At 44.9% G+C, this 16,865-nt stretch overlaps 1 protein-coding gene across 10 annotated transcripts in view; it reads left to right on the top strand.

Annotated features, from left to right (window-relative positions):
- The window catches only part of TENM4 (teneurin transmembrane protein 4), a 788,202-nt gene that overhangs the window by 757,719 nt on the left and 13,618 nt on the right, over positions 1-16,865 (top strand). For all 10 annotated transcript variants that reach the window (XM_047426739.1, XM_047426737.1, XM_047426736.1 and 7 more), the window contains 3 exons: positions 6,925-7,160; positions 10,983-11,279; positions 12,761-14,375. In XM_047426739.1, coding sequence (XP_047282695.1) covers positions 6,925-7,160; positions 10,983-11,279; positions 12,761-14,375 — 2,148 coding nt within the window. The remainder of the gene's footprint in view (positions 1-6,924; positions 7,161-10,982; positions 11,280-12,760; positions 14,376-16,865) is intronic.

The following is a 16,865-nucleotide window of genomic DNA, read 5'->3' as shown; positions in this document are numbered from 1 at the left end:
AACTGGGTGGAGCCCACCACAGCTCAAGGAGGCCTGCCTGCCTCTGTAGGCTCCACCTCTGGGGGCAGGGCACAGACAAACAAAAAGACAGCAGTAACCTCTGCAGACTTAAGTGTCCCTGTCTGACAGCTTTGAAGAGAGCAGTGGTTCTCCCAGCACGCAGCTGGAGATCTGAGAACGGGCAGACTGCCTCCTCAAGTGGGTCCCTGACCCCTGACCCCCGAGCAGCCTAACTGGGAGGCACCCCCCAGCAGGGGCACACTGACACCTCACACGGCAGGGTATTCCAACAGACCTGCAGCTGAGGGTCCTGTCTGTTAGAAGGAAAACTAACAACCAGAAAGGACGTCTACACCGAAAACCCATCTGTACATCACCATCATCAAAGACCAAAAGTAGATAAAACCACAAAGATGGGGAAAAAACAGAACAGAAAAACTGGAAACTCTAAAACGCAGAGCGCCTCTCCTCCTCCAAAGGAACGCAGTTCCTCACCAGCAACAGAACAAAGCTGGATGGAGAATGATTTTGACGAGCTGAGAGAAGAAGGCTTCAGACGATCAAATTACTCTGAGCTACGGGAGGACATTCAAACCAAAGGCAAAGAAGTTGAAAACTTTGAAAAAAATTTAGAAGAATGTATAACTAGAATAACCAATACAGAGAAGTGCTTAAAGGAGCTGATGGAGCTGAAAACCAAGGCTCGAGAACTACGTGAAGAATGCAGAAGCCTCAGGAGCCGATGCGATCAACTGGAAGAAAGGGTATCAGCAATGGAAGATGAAATGAATGAAATGAAGCGAGAAGGGAAGTTTAGAGAAAAAAGAATAAAAAGAAATGAGCAAAGCCTCCAAGAAATATGGGACTATGTGAAAAGACCAAATCTACGTCTGATTGGTGTACCTGAAAGTGATGTGGAGAATGGAACCAAGTTGGAAAACACTCTGCAGGATATTATCCAGGAGAACTTCCCCAATCTAGCAAGGCAGGCCAACGTTCAGATTCAGGAAATACAGAGAACGCCACAAAGATACTCCTCGAGAAGAGCAACTCCAAGACACATAATTGTCAGATTCACCAAAGTTGAAATGAAGGAAAAAATGTTAAGGGCAGCCAGAGAGAAAGGTCGGGTTACCCTCAAAGGAAAGCCCATCAGACTAACAGCGGATCTCTCGGCAGAAACCCTACAAGCCAGAAGAGAGTGGGGGCCAATATTCAACATTCTTAAAGAAAAGAATTTTCAACCCAGAATTTCATATCCAGCCAAACTAAGCTTCATAAGTGAAGGAGAAATAAAATACTTTATAGACAAGCAAATGCTGAGAGATTTTGTCACCACCAGGCCTGCCCTAAAAGAGCTCCTGAAGGAAGCGGTAAACATGGAAAGGAACAACCGGTACCAGCCGCTGCAAAATCATGCCAAAATGTAAAGACCATCGAGACTAGGAAGAAACTGCATCAACTAACGAGCAAAATCGCCAGCTAACATCATAATGACAGGATCAAATTCACACATAACAATATTAACTTTAAATATAAATGGACTAAATTCTGCAATTAAAAGACACAGACTGGCAAGTTGGATAAAGAGTCAAGACCCATCAGTGTGCTGTATTCAGGAAATCCATCTCACGTGCAGAGACACACATAGGCTCAAAATAAAAGGATGGAGGAAGATCTACCAAGCCAATGGAAAACAAAAAAAGGCAGGGGTTGCAATCCTAGTCTCTGATAAAACAGACTTTAAACCAACAAAGATCAAAAGAGACAAAGAAGGCCATTACATAATGGTAAAGGGATCAATTCAACAAGAGGAGCTAACTATCCTAAATATTTATGCACCCAATACAGGAGCACCCAGATTCATAAAGCAAGTCCTCAGTGACCTACAAAGAGACTTAGACTCCCACACATTAATAATGGGAGACTTTAACACCCCACTGTCAACATTAGACAGATCAACGAGACAGAAAGTCAACAAGGATACCCAGGAATTGAACTCAGCTCTGCACCAAGCAGACCTAATAGACATCTACAGAACTCTCCACCCCAAATCAACAGAATATACATTTTTTTCAGCACCACACCACACCTATTCCAAAATTGACCACATAGTTGGAAGTAAAGCTCTCCTCAGCAAATGTAAAAGAACAGAAATTATAACAAACTATCTCTCAGACCACAGTGCAATCAAACTAGAACTCAGGATTAAGAATCTCACTCAAAGCCGCTCAACTACATGGAAACTGAACAACCTGCTCCTGAATGACTACTGGGTACATAACGAAATGAAGGCAGAAATAAAGATGTTCTTTGAAACCAACGAGAACAAAGACACCACATACCAGAATCTCTGGGACGCATTCAAAGCAGTGTGTAGAGGGAAATTTATAGCACTAAATGCCTACAAGAGAAAGCAGGAAAGATCCAAAATTGACACCCTAACATCACAATTAAAAGAACTAGAAAAGCAAGAGCAAACACATTCAAAAGCTAGCAGAAGGCAAGAAATAACTAAAATCAGAGCAGAACTGAAGGAAATAGAGACACAAAAAACCCTTCAAAAAATCAATGAATCCAGGAGCTGGTTTTTCGAAAGGATCAACAAAATTGATAGACCGCTAGCAAGACTAATAAAGAAAAAAAGAGAGAAGAATCAAATAGACACAATAAAAAATGATAAAGGGGATATCACCACCGATCCCACAGAAATACAAACTACCATCAGAGAATACTACAAACACCTCTACGCAAATAAACTAGAAAATCTAGAAGAAATGGATACATTCCTCGACACATACACTCTCCCAAGACTAAACCAGGAAGAAGTTGAATCTCTGAATAGACCAATAACAGGCTCTGAAATTGTGGCAATAATCAATAGTTTACCAACCAAAAAGAGTCCAGGACCAGATGGATTCACAGCCGAATTCTACCAGAGGTACAAGGAGGAACTGGTACCATTCCTTCTGAAACTATTCCAATCAATAGAAAAAGAGGGAATCCTCCCTAACTCATTTTATGAGGCCAGCATCATTCTGATACCAAAGCCGGGCAGAGACACAACCAAAAAAGAGAATTTTAGACCAATATCCTTGATGAACATTGATGCAAAAATCCTCAATAAAATACTGGCAAACCGAATCCAGCAGCACATCAAAAAGCTTATCCACCATGATCAAGTGGGCTTCATCCCTGGGATGCAAGGCTGGTTCAATATACGCAAATCAATAAATGTAATCCAGCATATAAACAGAGCCAAAGACAAAAACCACATGATTATCTCAATAGATGTAGAAAAGGCCTTTGACAAAATTCAACAACCCTTCATGCTAAAAACTCTCAATAAATTAGGTATTGATGGGACGTATTTCAAAATAATAAGAGCTATCTATGACAAACCCACAGCCAATATCATACTGAATGGGCAAAAACTGGAAGCATTCCCTTTGAAAACTGGCACAAGACAGGGATGCCCTCTCTCACCGCTCCTATTCAACATAGTGTTGGAAGTTCTGGCCAGGGCAATCAGGCAGGAGAAGGAAATAAAGGGTATTCAATTAGGAAAAGAGGAAGTCAAATTGTCCCTGTTTGCAGACGACATGATTGTTTATCTAGAAAACCCCATCGTCTCAGCCCAAAATCTCCTTAAGCTGATAAGCAACTTCAGCAAAGTCTCAGGATACAAAATCAATGTACAAAAATCACAAGCATTCTTATACACCAACAACAGACAAACAGAGAGCCAAATCATGGGTGAACTCCCATTCACAATTGCTTCAAAGAGAATAAAATACCTAGGAATCCAACTTACAAGGGATGTGAAGGACCTCTTCAAGGAGAACTACAAACCACTGCTCAAGGAAATAAAAGAGGACACAAACAAATGGAAGAACATTCCATGCTCATGGGTAGGAAGAATCAATATCGTGAAAATGGCCATACTGCCCAAGGTAATTTACAGATTCAATGCCATCCCCATCAAGCTACCAATGACTTTCTTCACAGAATTGGAAAAAACTACTTTAAAGTTCATATGGAACCAAAAAAGAGCCCGCATCGCCAAGTCAATCCTAAGCCAAAAGAACAAAGCTGGAGGCATCACACTACCTGACTTCAAACTATACTACAAGGCTACAGTAACCAAAACAGCATGGTACTGGTACCAAAACAGAGATATAGATCAATGGAACAGAACAGAGCCCTCAGAAATAATGCCGCATATCTACAACTATCTGATCTTTGACAAACCTGAGAAAAACAAGCAATGGGGAAAGGATTCCCTATTTAATAAATGGTGCTGGGAAAACTGGCTAGCCATATGTAGAAAGCTGAAACTGGATCCCTTCCTTACACCTTATACAAAAATCAATTCAAGATGGATTAAAGATTTAAACGTTAAACCTAAAACCATAAAAACCCTAGAAGAAAACCTAGGCATTACCATTCAGGACATAGGCGTGGGCAAGGACTTCATGTCCAAAACACCAAAAGCAATGGCAACAAAAGACAAAATTGACAAATGGGATCTAATTAAACTAAAGAGCTTCTGCACAGCAAAAGAAACTACCATCAGAGTGAACAGGCAACCTACAACATGGGAGAAAATTTTCGCAACCTACTCATCTGACAAAGGGCTAATATCCAGAATCTACAATGAACTCAAACAAATTTACAAGAAAAAAACAAACAACCCCATCAAAAAGTGGGCGAAGGACATGAACAGACACTTCTCAAAAGAAGACATTTATGCAGCCAAAAAACACATGAAGAAATGCTCATCATCACTGGCCATCAGAGAAATGCAAATCAAAACCACTATGAGATATCATCTCACACCAGTTAGAATGGCAATCATTAAAAAGTCAGGAAACAGCAGGTGCTGGAGAGGATGCGGAGAAATAGGAACACTTTTACACTGTTGGTGGGACTGTAAACTAGTTCAACCATTGTGGAAGTCAGTGTGGCGATTCCTCAGGGATCTAGAACTAGAAATACCATTTGACCCAGCCATCCCATTACTGGGTATATACCCAAATGAGTATAAATCATGCTGCTATAAAGACACATGCACACGTATGTTTATTGCAGCACTATTCACAATAGCAAAGACTTGGAACCAACCCAAATGTCCAACAATGATAGACTGGATTAAGAAAATGTGGCACATATACACCATGGAATACTATGCAGCCATAAAAAATGATGAGTTCATATCCTTTGTAGGGACATGGATGAAATTGGAAACCATCATTCTCAGTAAACTATCGCAAGAACAAAAAACCAAACACCGCATATTCTCACTCATAGGTGGGAATTGAACAATGAGATCACATGGACACAGGAAGGGGAATATCACACTCTGGGGACTGTGGTGGGGTCGGGGGAGGGGGGAGGGATAGCATTGGGAGATATACCTAATGCTAGATGACACATTAGTGGGTGCAGCGCACCAGCATGGCACATGTATACATATGTAACTAACCTGCACAATGTGCACATGTACCCTAAAACTTAGAGTATAATAAAAAAAAAAAGAATCTAAGTTAGAATGTTTTAAATCAAATTTAAAATTTCAAATCATATGTATATTTAAATCATTGTCATATGCCTGTGACAATGATTTAAAATATGTTTATATTTATGTATTTTTTTTTGTCATTCTGTCAGTGGTTTAAGTGTCAAAGTTATTTTTCACCTTGTTATAAAAAACATTGTTACCTTAGAGTGTATCAAGAGCCTTAAAAATGTTCAACCTGCCAGGTATGGTGGCTCACACTTGTAATCCCATTGCTTTTGGAGGCTAAGGTGGAAGGATTGCTTGAGCCCAGGAGTTCAAGACCTGCCTGGTCAAATATTGAAACCTGGTCTCTACAAAATATTTCAAAAATTAGCCGGGTGTGGTGATGCATGCCTATAGTCCTAGCTACTTGGGAGGCTGAGGTTGGAGGATTGCTTGGGCCGAGGAGTATGAGGTTACAGTGAGCTATGATCACATTGTACTACTGCACTACAGCCTGGGCAACAGAACAAGACCCTGTCTCCAAAAAAAAAAAAAAAAAGTTCAACCCTTTTCTCTAGTAATCCTACTTTTAGGAATCTATTTTGATTTGAAAATCTAAAATGAAGATATTGGATATTGATTTATCTAAAAAGTATTTTTGAGGTATAATTCACATAGCATAAGATTTACTCTTTAAAAACATACAATTGTGTGGCTTTTAGTATATTTATAAAGCTGTGCAATCATCACTATGATCCGATTCTGGAACATGTTTATCACCGCAAAGAGAAATCCCATACCCATTCGCAGCTGCTCCACGTTCCCTCCTGCCCCTCAGCCTTTGGCAACCACCGTCTCTAGAGATTCTTGCCTATTCTGGACATTTCATATAAGTGGAGTCAGACAATATGTAGCCTTTTACATGTGACTTCTTTTTCACTTAGAATAATGTTTAAACTAAATATATACAGTGGTACTTATAATTCTGAAAAACTGGAATCAAACTGAGTATCTATTTGAGGCTTGGTTAAATAACTTAAAGTATTTTCATACAGTGGAATATTGTATGGTCATTAAGAAAAATGTTTATGAAAAATATTCAGTAACATGATATAATACAATGATCAGTGAAAAACTGTATAACTGTTTTAAAACTCTTACCTATTTTAAACTGTAATGTAAGGGCATTTGGAAATATCCTAAAATCTACAAACATACAAAATATTTACAATGGTTTTCTTTGGATATGGAGAATCTGGATGGTCTTCTCCATGTATTTTCCTCGCTTTCTTCAGTGATGATGTATTGCTTTCATAGTTAGGAAAAGCATCCTTTAAAGTCCCCTCCACCGCCTCTGCTGTCCTCACACCTCCCTCCACCTTCGTTCCTTCTGAGCAGTCTGTGCTTGTCCTCTCCTGCAGACCAAGTCCGGAACAGCTACTACATCGGGGCCGATGGCTCCTTGCGGCTGCTGCTGGCCAACGGCATGGAGGTGGCGCTGCAGACTGAGCCCCACTTGCTGGCTGGCACCGTCAACCCCACCGTGGGCAAGAGGAATGTCACGCTGCCCATCGACAACGGCCTCAACCTGGTGGAGTGGCGCCAGCGCAAAGAGCAGGCTCGGGGCCAGGTCACTGTCTTTGGGCGCCGGCTGCGGGTGAGCGAGGCCTCTGGAGGTGGCTGCGTCCTGGGGGGAAAGAATGGGGAACGGGAGAACGGGGCTCTGTTCTTGAAATTCCCTGGGACCTCAGTTCACTCATCTGCAAAAGGGGAGAACTAAATCAGGGAACCATGTGTGATCAGAGACCCTTGTGTGTCTTTTTAGTTTTTACTTGTGGAAAGACTACTGGCTTTGGTGTTAGACAGGTCTGAGTTGAATTTCCAGCTTATATTATTCCCTGAGTGAGCTTGGACAGATCAGTAATCTTAGAGCCTCAATTTCATCATCTATAAAATGGGAAGGACAAGGCCAATTTTACAAGTTGCTACAAGGATTAGAAGTAATATATTAAGCATCTTAGAGTCTGGCTCATAGCAAGTGGTCAATAATAGCTACTCTTATTGTTATTGTTATGATTTATTACCATTATTGCTATTACTATTGCTAGCATGTCCCAAAATTCAGCTCAGCTACTTAGAACCTAAGCTACATTCTCCAAAATGACCTCACCCGAGCCATCACTGCTGGGGCTGGCATCATGGTCTGACATTCAGAGTGCTTTTGAATATGTGGATGCCCTGAGCCAGCTCCTTGTCTGCCTCACATCCTGTGTTTCTGTAGAGTACAGCCTCTGCCAGGGCCTGAGTGCCCAGCTTCTTTTTCCTCCACCTTGAGAAAGGCAGGTGATGAACAGAGGGAAAGTTAATGAACTAGCCATGGCTTTCAGCACAGCACCTTGCACACCATGGGTGCTCAGGAGATACCTGCTGAGATGAAACAAACTACAGAACTGAGCTACATGTTCCTAACATTCCAGAAGCATCCTCATAGCAACACAGCTCAGACTCTCTTAAGTCCCCTGCCCTTCAGCAAAGAAAGTTCACTGAAGCCCCTCTTTTACACATGAGACAATCGAGATCCAGAGAGGGTAAACGATTTTTCCAGAGTCTCATAGCGAGGTGGTGGTAAAGACTAGAAAATAGGCCAGGCACAGCAGCTCATACCTGTAATCCCAGCACTTTGGGAGGCTGAGGCAGGTGGATTGCTTGAGGTCAGGAGTTCGAGACCAGCCTGGCCAACACGGTGAAACTTCATCTCTACTAAAAATACAAAAAATTAGCTGGGTATGATGGGGGACACCAGTAATCCTAGCTACTCAGGAGGCTGAGGCAGGATAATTGCTTGAACCTGGGAGGCAGAGGTTGCAATGAGCCGAGATCGCGCCGCTGCACTCCAGCCTGGGCGACAGAGTAAGACTCTGTCTCAAAAAAAAAAAACTAGAAAATAGGCCCACAGCAGCTACAGAAACAGTAAGTGACTTATCCAATATCACACAACTGGAACCCAGAAAACCAGGCTTCGTTTGTTCCCTCAACAGCCAAGAGCTCTAGTGACTATCTACTGTGGGAAACAGCCTTGCACTAGCTCCCCGAGGAAGGCCTAGCTGTCTTTGTTCTCTGTGGCCTCACTGAGCTCCCCCGTCTGAATTCGCAGACTCCTGCATGCGCCTCTGAGGCAGTGTCCTCAATGGGAAGTTTGACCTGGGTTTGATTCCTGCCTGTGCCATGTGGAGCCTTGAGCAGCTCCTCTGAGCCTCAGGTGCCTCTGCAGAAACAAGATGATACAATCAACGCACCTAGCCCAGCACAGGTAGACTCCAGGTGCTCAATAAATGGCAGCGATTAGCATGATTAGGATTTCCTCTCTGCTGTGTGAACTGGACCAAAAGTTTCCCAGGCTTTAATTGGTCCCTCTCCCAACCTGAGATTGGGACGGGTGGCCACGTCTACATGTCCTCCCAAATAAATGGCCACCCACAGTGGTGGCAGGTGGAATTAGAATGTTAGCCGGGTGTGCCTCCCCATAATGGAGTTCATTTTTTATACAACTGGGAACTTTTTTAATAAAGAGGTGAAATAATCTCATTGCCGCCACTGCCGAGCACAGGACGCATTAGGCGGCTCCCCAGTGAGCTGTTTAATTTTATTAATTTTGCCAAAAAGGTACAGCTCCCCTTCACTAGAGATCCTCCAGGGAGAAAGGGGGACAGCTGGCTGGGTGGCACCACCCTGAGGGGAGTCACAGCGGGACCTTCCAAAAGATACTTTAAAAAGGCCTCTGTCATTGTTGGTGGCACAGCCCCTGTATCTTCCTGTGCCCTGTCTGCAAATAACACAGCTTCAGCCTCCAATGCCTCTGATTTTTCATGGGAATCATCTGCCACACTGTTTTTGCATCTGCAATTGTGTTTGATTACCCCAGAGAAGGTAACCTTATTATAACCAGGTCATTCACAGCTAAAGTCAGCATCGTCATTATAAATCGTTATTTTCAAGGCCTTAGAATTTGTGTGGGAGAAGGAGGAAACACACACATCTCTCCTTCCTGGGATATGACCACGATCGTTTGCTGTCATTTAATGGAAATAATTCCAACCATCTATTCAGTACCTTCTATGTGCCTAGCACTCCACTGATTTACTAAGTTTCTTCAACCTTCACAACAACTCTTGTTATACAGAGTAAGAAACTGAGACTCGGATAGGGGAAGGCACTTGCCCAAGGTTGATAGAAAAGTTGGTCACAAAGTTGCAGCTAGAATCCTGGCCTTCATTCCTAGACCTGCACCCATTTTTTTTTAACCACACAGGGATCCAGAGGGCCTTTCATTGCCTCGGTCCACACATGCCATTTTGCATCACGTGACCTAATTATCTGCTTTCCTCTTGGGTCTTCTGTATTACTTGTCAACCTTAAGCAATGACTAGTGGAAGAGACAGAAAATGTGCCCAAATGTCCCATAAGGCCAGACACCAATTAGCGGAAACCAGTATTTTAGTTCCAGAATACCTGGCAATATTTCAGGGGCCACCAATGCCTACAGGGCAGATCCAAATACAGAAACAGGCCCCTGAAGTATATTTCTTTATTAAAATATAAAAACCCTAACCTACCACTACGTCTGTAGGAGCCCTGTCTTTCTGACTCTGAAAGGAAATTGAACTGTGTGCTGGCCTAGCAGTCCAGGTGGAGTTTATACAAGGCACTCCCGATCCTGAAGGCAGGAGCAAAGTGCCTCAAAGCCAGGACTGTGTCCCCATTCGGCCCACAGGCAGAAAAGCCATCCCAGTGACAAACACTCACTGCCTCCCAGCACCTCTGGGAAGAATATGTCTTGGGTACTGACTGTGGCAATCAAGAAGCCCTGATTGTAGTGGCAAGCAGGAGACACCCGACAGGGGCTGGGAAGTTCAGAGCCCCCAGAAGGCCACGAATTGCTCAGAGGGCCACTGAGTGTTTGGGGGCACGTTGTATGTGTGAGAGTCAAGTCCAGACTCCGTCACTCACCAGCCACGAGATCCAGGGTAAATCCCTTCACCTCCCTGAGCTTTGGTCTCCGCAGTGTCTGGTGTGGAAGAGATGGGTCAGTTTATTTTCTGGGCTCACTTGGTGGGTCTCCTTTCAGCAGGGAGTCAAGAAGGATCTGCCTTTTAAAACGTGTCCTCATTAGAAGAATCACATTAGAAAACATGCAGATCCTCTTTGGTCACAGCTACTGATTTCTCAACATAGGGATCATCTTCATCCTCACAACAACCCTGTGCAATTGGCATTATTGTCCCCATTTTACAGGTGAGGAAACTTCACAGAGCTGACAAATGACAGAGCCAGGATTCAAACCCATGTCTGTTGCTGCGCAGGACTGTGCTCCCTCCTCTACTCAAGAGCTTCCCAGCAGAGCTGAGAGCAACGTGGCCCATCAGACCAAAGTTCTCATGGTCCAGATTAATTTTCTCTTTCCTTCCAACCCTTTCTCCAGGTTCACAACCGAAATCTCCTATCTCTGGACTTTGATCGCGTAACACGCACAGAGAAGATCTATGATGACCACCGCAAGTTCACCCTTCGGATTCTGTACGACCAGGCGGGGCGGCCCAGCCTCTGGTCACCCAGCAGCAGGCTGAATGGTGTCAACGTGACATACTCCCCTGGGGGTTACATTGCTGGCATCCAGAGGGGCATCATGTCTGAAAGAATGGAATACGACCAGGCGGGCCGCATCACATCCAGGATCTTCGCTGATGGGAAGACATGGAGCTACACATACTTAGAGAAGGCAGGTGTCTGTCTCCCTGCATCACTGGCCTTGCCATACAGAAGGCCAATCATTCACGGCCAAGCCCAGCCTGGTGGCCTCAGTGGGCTGTATCTGACCCATGTCACCAAAAGGAAATGTTCAGGAAAGTCTGCCACAGAGGGCATGGGGTCCCAAGAGGCATCAGGATGGATCAGGGAGATAGCATGGCAGGTGGTGGTCCTAGGGCAGGAGAACATGAAAGACCTGCCTGATAGAGTAGAGGCCCAAATACTCACTGGATTTGCAGAGCAGGACTCGGGGTTCAGACCCAGGCCAAGGGTCTGCTCCCAGGTCTAGGGCATGTGGTACAATCCAGTTGTGGAGAACCAGGCAGAAGCCTAGGCATCAGTACATAGGCAGGAGGCACTTACTCCTGAGCTTCAAGTGCTGGGCATGGCCTTAGTAAATCTATTCTGCTCTAGCATCAGAACTCATGTCATCCCAGGGGTAAGAATCAGAAATGACCTAAAATCAAAAGTTGGTCTCAAATAGGAAAAAATGGTAGCTTTGCAGCATAAAGCCTCTAGGCCTTTTATCTGCTGATCTTTTCCTGAGAACAAGTGCACTGCATGCCCCATTTCAAGTATCCAGATCCCTGCTTTGTTTCCTGACCCTGGTGACCTGTCCAGGGCATAGGCTGTGCTTGCTCTGAGGTGGGTCTCCTCTACCCACTGGGTGAGTACCCCCAAAAGTGACATTTTGCGCTAGTACTAAGAGAGAGAGAGACCTTGGAGGTCATCCAACATACTGAAAACCCAAACCCAGAGAGGGGAAGAACTTTCCCAGGGCCACACAAGGAGACTATTGTTAGAAACCAGGTTCTCCCATTCCCATCACAGTCTGCCCTATCCCAGAGTAGGCTTATGACCTGTCATTGTGCAAAGCCTTAAATGCCCTTCTCAAATATGGTCTTCGTGCTGTAAGCCACAGGGAGTCAGCGGAAACTGTTTAGCAGGTAAAAGAAATTGTGAGACTGTGTTTGGAGGAGCTCACTCTTGCCTGAATAGGAAGATTGGTTTGAGAAGTCTGGGGCAAGGAAGCCAGACTGCTGTACATACTTCAGGCCAAAGCTTCTTGGCCGTTCTCACACCCCACCACGCACAAAAGTAACCAGGTCTGTCCTGCACAAAGGGGCAAACCCACGAGGCTGCTCACCATAGGACAGCAAATGGCCTGAGTACCTGGAGGCCTAGGCCCCAGGTAGGTTACAGGTGTGCTAAGGTTAAAGCTGTGCTAAGATGAGGCTGAGAGAAAGCCTCATCTTGGCACATCTGTAACCTATTTGCAGTATCCCGTGACACTCCTGTTGGAGAGCTCTGGTTGGAGCATAACTCAAGAGAACCATGGAAACTCAGGATTCTCCTTGGACATTCATTCCGTCCCTTTAAGTCTCGGGTATGTAGACCTACCCTTTCTCCTCACCACCCTCCTCTCATCTCTTGGTTTTCCTCTCCCTCCAGTCCATGGTGCTGCTACTACACAGCCAGAGGCAGTATATCTTTGAGTTCGACAAGAATGACCGCCTCTCTTCTGTGACGATGCCCAACGTGGCGCGGCAGACACTAGAGACCATCCGCTCAGTGGGCTACTACAGAAACATCTATCAGCCCCCTGAGGGCAATGCCTCAGTCATACAGGACTTCACTGAGGATGGGCACCTCCTTCACACCTTCTACCTGGGCACTGGCCGCAGGGTGATATACAAGTATGGCAAACTGTCAAAGCTGGCAGAGACGCTCTATGACACCACCAAGGTCAGTTTCACCTATGACGAGACGGCAGGCATGCTGAAGACCATCAACCTACAGAATGAGGGCTTCACCTGCACCATCCGCTACCGTCAGATTGGGCCCCTGATTGACCGACAGATCTTCCGCTTCACTGAGGAAGGCATGGTCAACGCCCGTTTTGACTACAACTATGACAACAGCTTCCGGGTGACCAGCATGCAGGCTGTGATCAACGAGACCCCACTGCCCATTGATCTCTATCGCTATGATGATGTGTCAGGCAAGACAGAGCAGTTTGGGAAGTTTGGTGTCATTTACTATGACATTAACCAGATCATCACCACAGCTGTCATGACCCACACCAAGCATTTTGATGCATATGGCAGGATGAAGGAAGTGCAGTATGAGATCTTCCGCTCGCTCATGTACTGGATGACCGTCCAGTATGATAACATGGGGCGAGTAGTGAAGAAGGAGCTGAAGGTAGGACCCTACGCCAATACCACTCGCTACTCCTATGAGTATGATGCTGACGGCCAGCTGCAGACAGTCTCCATCAATGACAAGCCACTCTGGCGCTACAGCTACGACCTCAATGGGAACCTGCACTTACTGAGCCCTGGGAACAGTGCACGGCTCACACCACTACGGTATGACATCCGCGACCGCATCACTCGGCTGGGTGACGTGCAATACAAGATGGATGAGGATGGCTTCCTGAGGCAGCGGGGCGGTGATATCTTTGAGTACAACTCAGCTGGCCTGCTCATCAAGGCCTACAACCGGGCTGGCAGCTGGAGTGTCAGGTACCGCTACGATGGCCTGGGGCGGCGCGTGTCCAGCAAGAGCAGCCACAGCCACCACCTGCAGTTCTTCTATGCAGACCTGACCAACCCCACCAAGGTCACCCACCTGTACAACCACTCCAGCTCTGAGATCACCTCCCTCTACTACGACTTGCAAGGACACCTCTTTGCCATGGAGCTGAGCAGTGGTGATGAGTTTTACATAGCTTGTGACAACATCGGGACCCCTCTTGCTGTCTTTAGTGGAACAGGTTTGATGATCAAGCAAATCCTGTACACAGCCTATGGGGAGATCTACATGGATACCAACCCCAACTTTCAGATCATCATAGGCTACCATGGTGGCCTCTATGATCCACTCACCAAGCTTGTCCACATGGGCCGGCGAGATTATGATGTGCTGGCCGGACGCTGGACTAGCCCAGACCACGAGCTGTGGAAGCACCTTAGTAGCAGCAACGTCATGCCTTTTAATCTCTATATGTTCAAAAACAACAACCCCATCAGCAACTCCCAGGACATCAAGTGCTTCATGACAGGTAAGGACCACGGCTCACTCAGGGGCAGGACCCCATAAAGTGCTCTTACTACCTAACAATACTTAGTCTTCTTTGAGAAAGCTGGCATAAGGTGACAGGAAACACTGACTTTCTCTTAGAGCAGCATTTTCCAAAGTCCGTTTGAAGAAACACTAGTTCAGAAAATACTCTGGAAAAATGGTTCCAGCATCAAATAAATTTGTCAGGGTCACCACCATTATTACATTTTCATAGTACATTTCAGTGTATGATAAGCTCTGGGAAGTGCTATAAAAGTGAACTATTTAATATATTTGCCCACTATTTCTCAAACTTATTTGACCGTAAAAGCCCTTTTTTCACCATGAAATCCTAATATCTCATGGGATACATCCCATGGATTGCACTTTAGGAGTTTCTGACACACAAATCAAACTGCTAATGAGTCCTTGATTGGGTTAAGGTATGGCTTTAAAAAAAAATTAGTTCTCAATTTGGGATAATGTAAGAATGGAGTGAAGGATCCACCAGTTTGAAGCCATGACATGTTACAAAAATTATTTAACTGCCCTGAATTCCAGTTTCCTGATACGTAAATTGAAGTTAGAACATCTACCTATAATTAAATATGTGTATTATAAACCCTAGAGAAACCACTAAAAAGATAAAAACTAAAAAAAGAGTCCTAGCTAATAAGTCAACAGTGGAGATAAAATGGAAGACAAGAAAATAATCCAAAGAGGGCAGGAAAAGAGGGAAAAAAAAGAATAAGGAACACATGCAACAATAGAAACTAACACCTACCTGGTAGGGTGGTTGCAAGGGTGAAGTGAAATACATTTCATGAGGTACTTAGCGCAGTGCCTGGCTCGTGTTGGTTCCCTTTCCTTTACCCCCTAACTTGAAAAGTGAGCTCTGCCTTCCATTACCATGAAACCAACTTGAGTATAAAGTGTCCCAGGGTCCCACAGGCAGGGATGTCTCCAGCAGCCACAGCCCTCCCAGCAAGCAGCCAGTCCCAGGTTAGCCACAGAGGCCCTCAACCCCACAGAGAGTGGGTGGGGGTTTGGGTAAAGCCCACACTTTTTACATAAGAGAGTTTGTGATAGGCAAAAATTGGGCACATCCCACCTTGCAAAGCCAGTAGTCTCTCCCCTCTTTTGTCGTGCGATTCAATTCTCCTGCCCTCTTTTATGGCAGTTTCCTTCATTCTACAAGTGCTTCTTCTGTGCAGCCACTGTTTCAGGCATTGAGGAGAGAAAAATGATCCCTGCATTCCAGGAATTCTCACTGTAAGGGGAGAGACAGGCAACTGCTGTCAAGAGGGGAGGACCATGACAAAGGTTTGCACAGATGCCCATTGAAGCACAGAGGAAAAGCCACCTGCTCTGCCCAGAGCATTCTGGGAAGTCTTCACAAAGTAGCTGACATTTGAGGCCAGCTCCTGAGCTGGTGTTCACCAGGTAATGGGGGAGAAAGGCATTGCAGAGAGGGAAGGCAGCACATATAATACAGAAGTGTAGAGGGGCAACATGACAGCTCACATGAATGCCCCTTACAGACGTGGCTTCCCAGCTCCCAAACTTGGTAGCCCCCACCTGGACCCTGTTTCTGCTGACAGCAGTAGAAGAATTCCTTTTTCAAGAAGAGTTCCATGTTGTCACACATTGAGAGCAGGCATCCCAAGCATAGGAAAGAGGGGAGAATAGCATCCCAAGCATAGGGAAGAAGGGAGAACAAGGTGGTGGACAGGTGTGATGAAAACAGACTTGGGGCCTATGGATAAACATGAATATGCTAACAATGTTTCACAGCCTTCACCATGCTCAACTTGGCTGCTAGTTCTAGAGAAACTTGACAGATTGAGATGACATTTCCATTACATCTGTCTGCATTAAGCACACCCCCTGCCTCACTCTCCAATGAGTTTCCTGTGAGATGTCTTGGCAGGTTACTGTAGCTGAAAAAAAACATGGTGCAATAGGAAATGTACTTTTCTATCAAAAAAAACATTGCATCTTTCCAAAATATTACTCCCTCCCCCTTTTCCTTTGTACACCACCATATACATATGGTCTCCTTCCAGAATAGCACTAACATGACTAACTCTCTATGCTATCTGGCACTTGGCAGATATGCTCTCCTTTAAACTTTGCAACAACTGTGAGATCACCATCATTATCTCCTTTCTGCAGATGAGACTCCAAATGTCATTCAAGGCTGCAATGAAGGGTTTGCCCAGAGTCACACAGATGTAGACCACAGAGCTAGGACTCTAATCCAGGGCTCTCTGACTCTAGAACACCTTCCACTACAATCATGCTGGCCTCCAAATCCAGCTTTTAACAAAGCAACCAACCATCAAGGGGCACCTAACATTTTCAGTTTAGGTTCTATATTCCAGTCAGTTAAATCCAGCAAAGAGTATATTATTTATACTTACTCCTTGCCAAACCTGTATTAAGGATCCAGAGAGGAGTGAGGTATAATACCCACCTTCATAGATCACAG

Source organism: Homo sapiens, chromosome 11, assembly GCF_000001405.40.
Source record: "Homo sapiens chromosome 11, GRCh38.p14 Primary Assembly".
In the NCBI taxonomy this organism is placed as follows: Eukaryota; Metazoa; Chordata; class Mammalia; order Primates; family Hominidae; genus Homo; species Homo sapiens.
This window is presented reverse-complemented; position numbering and strand designations above follow the sequence as displayed.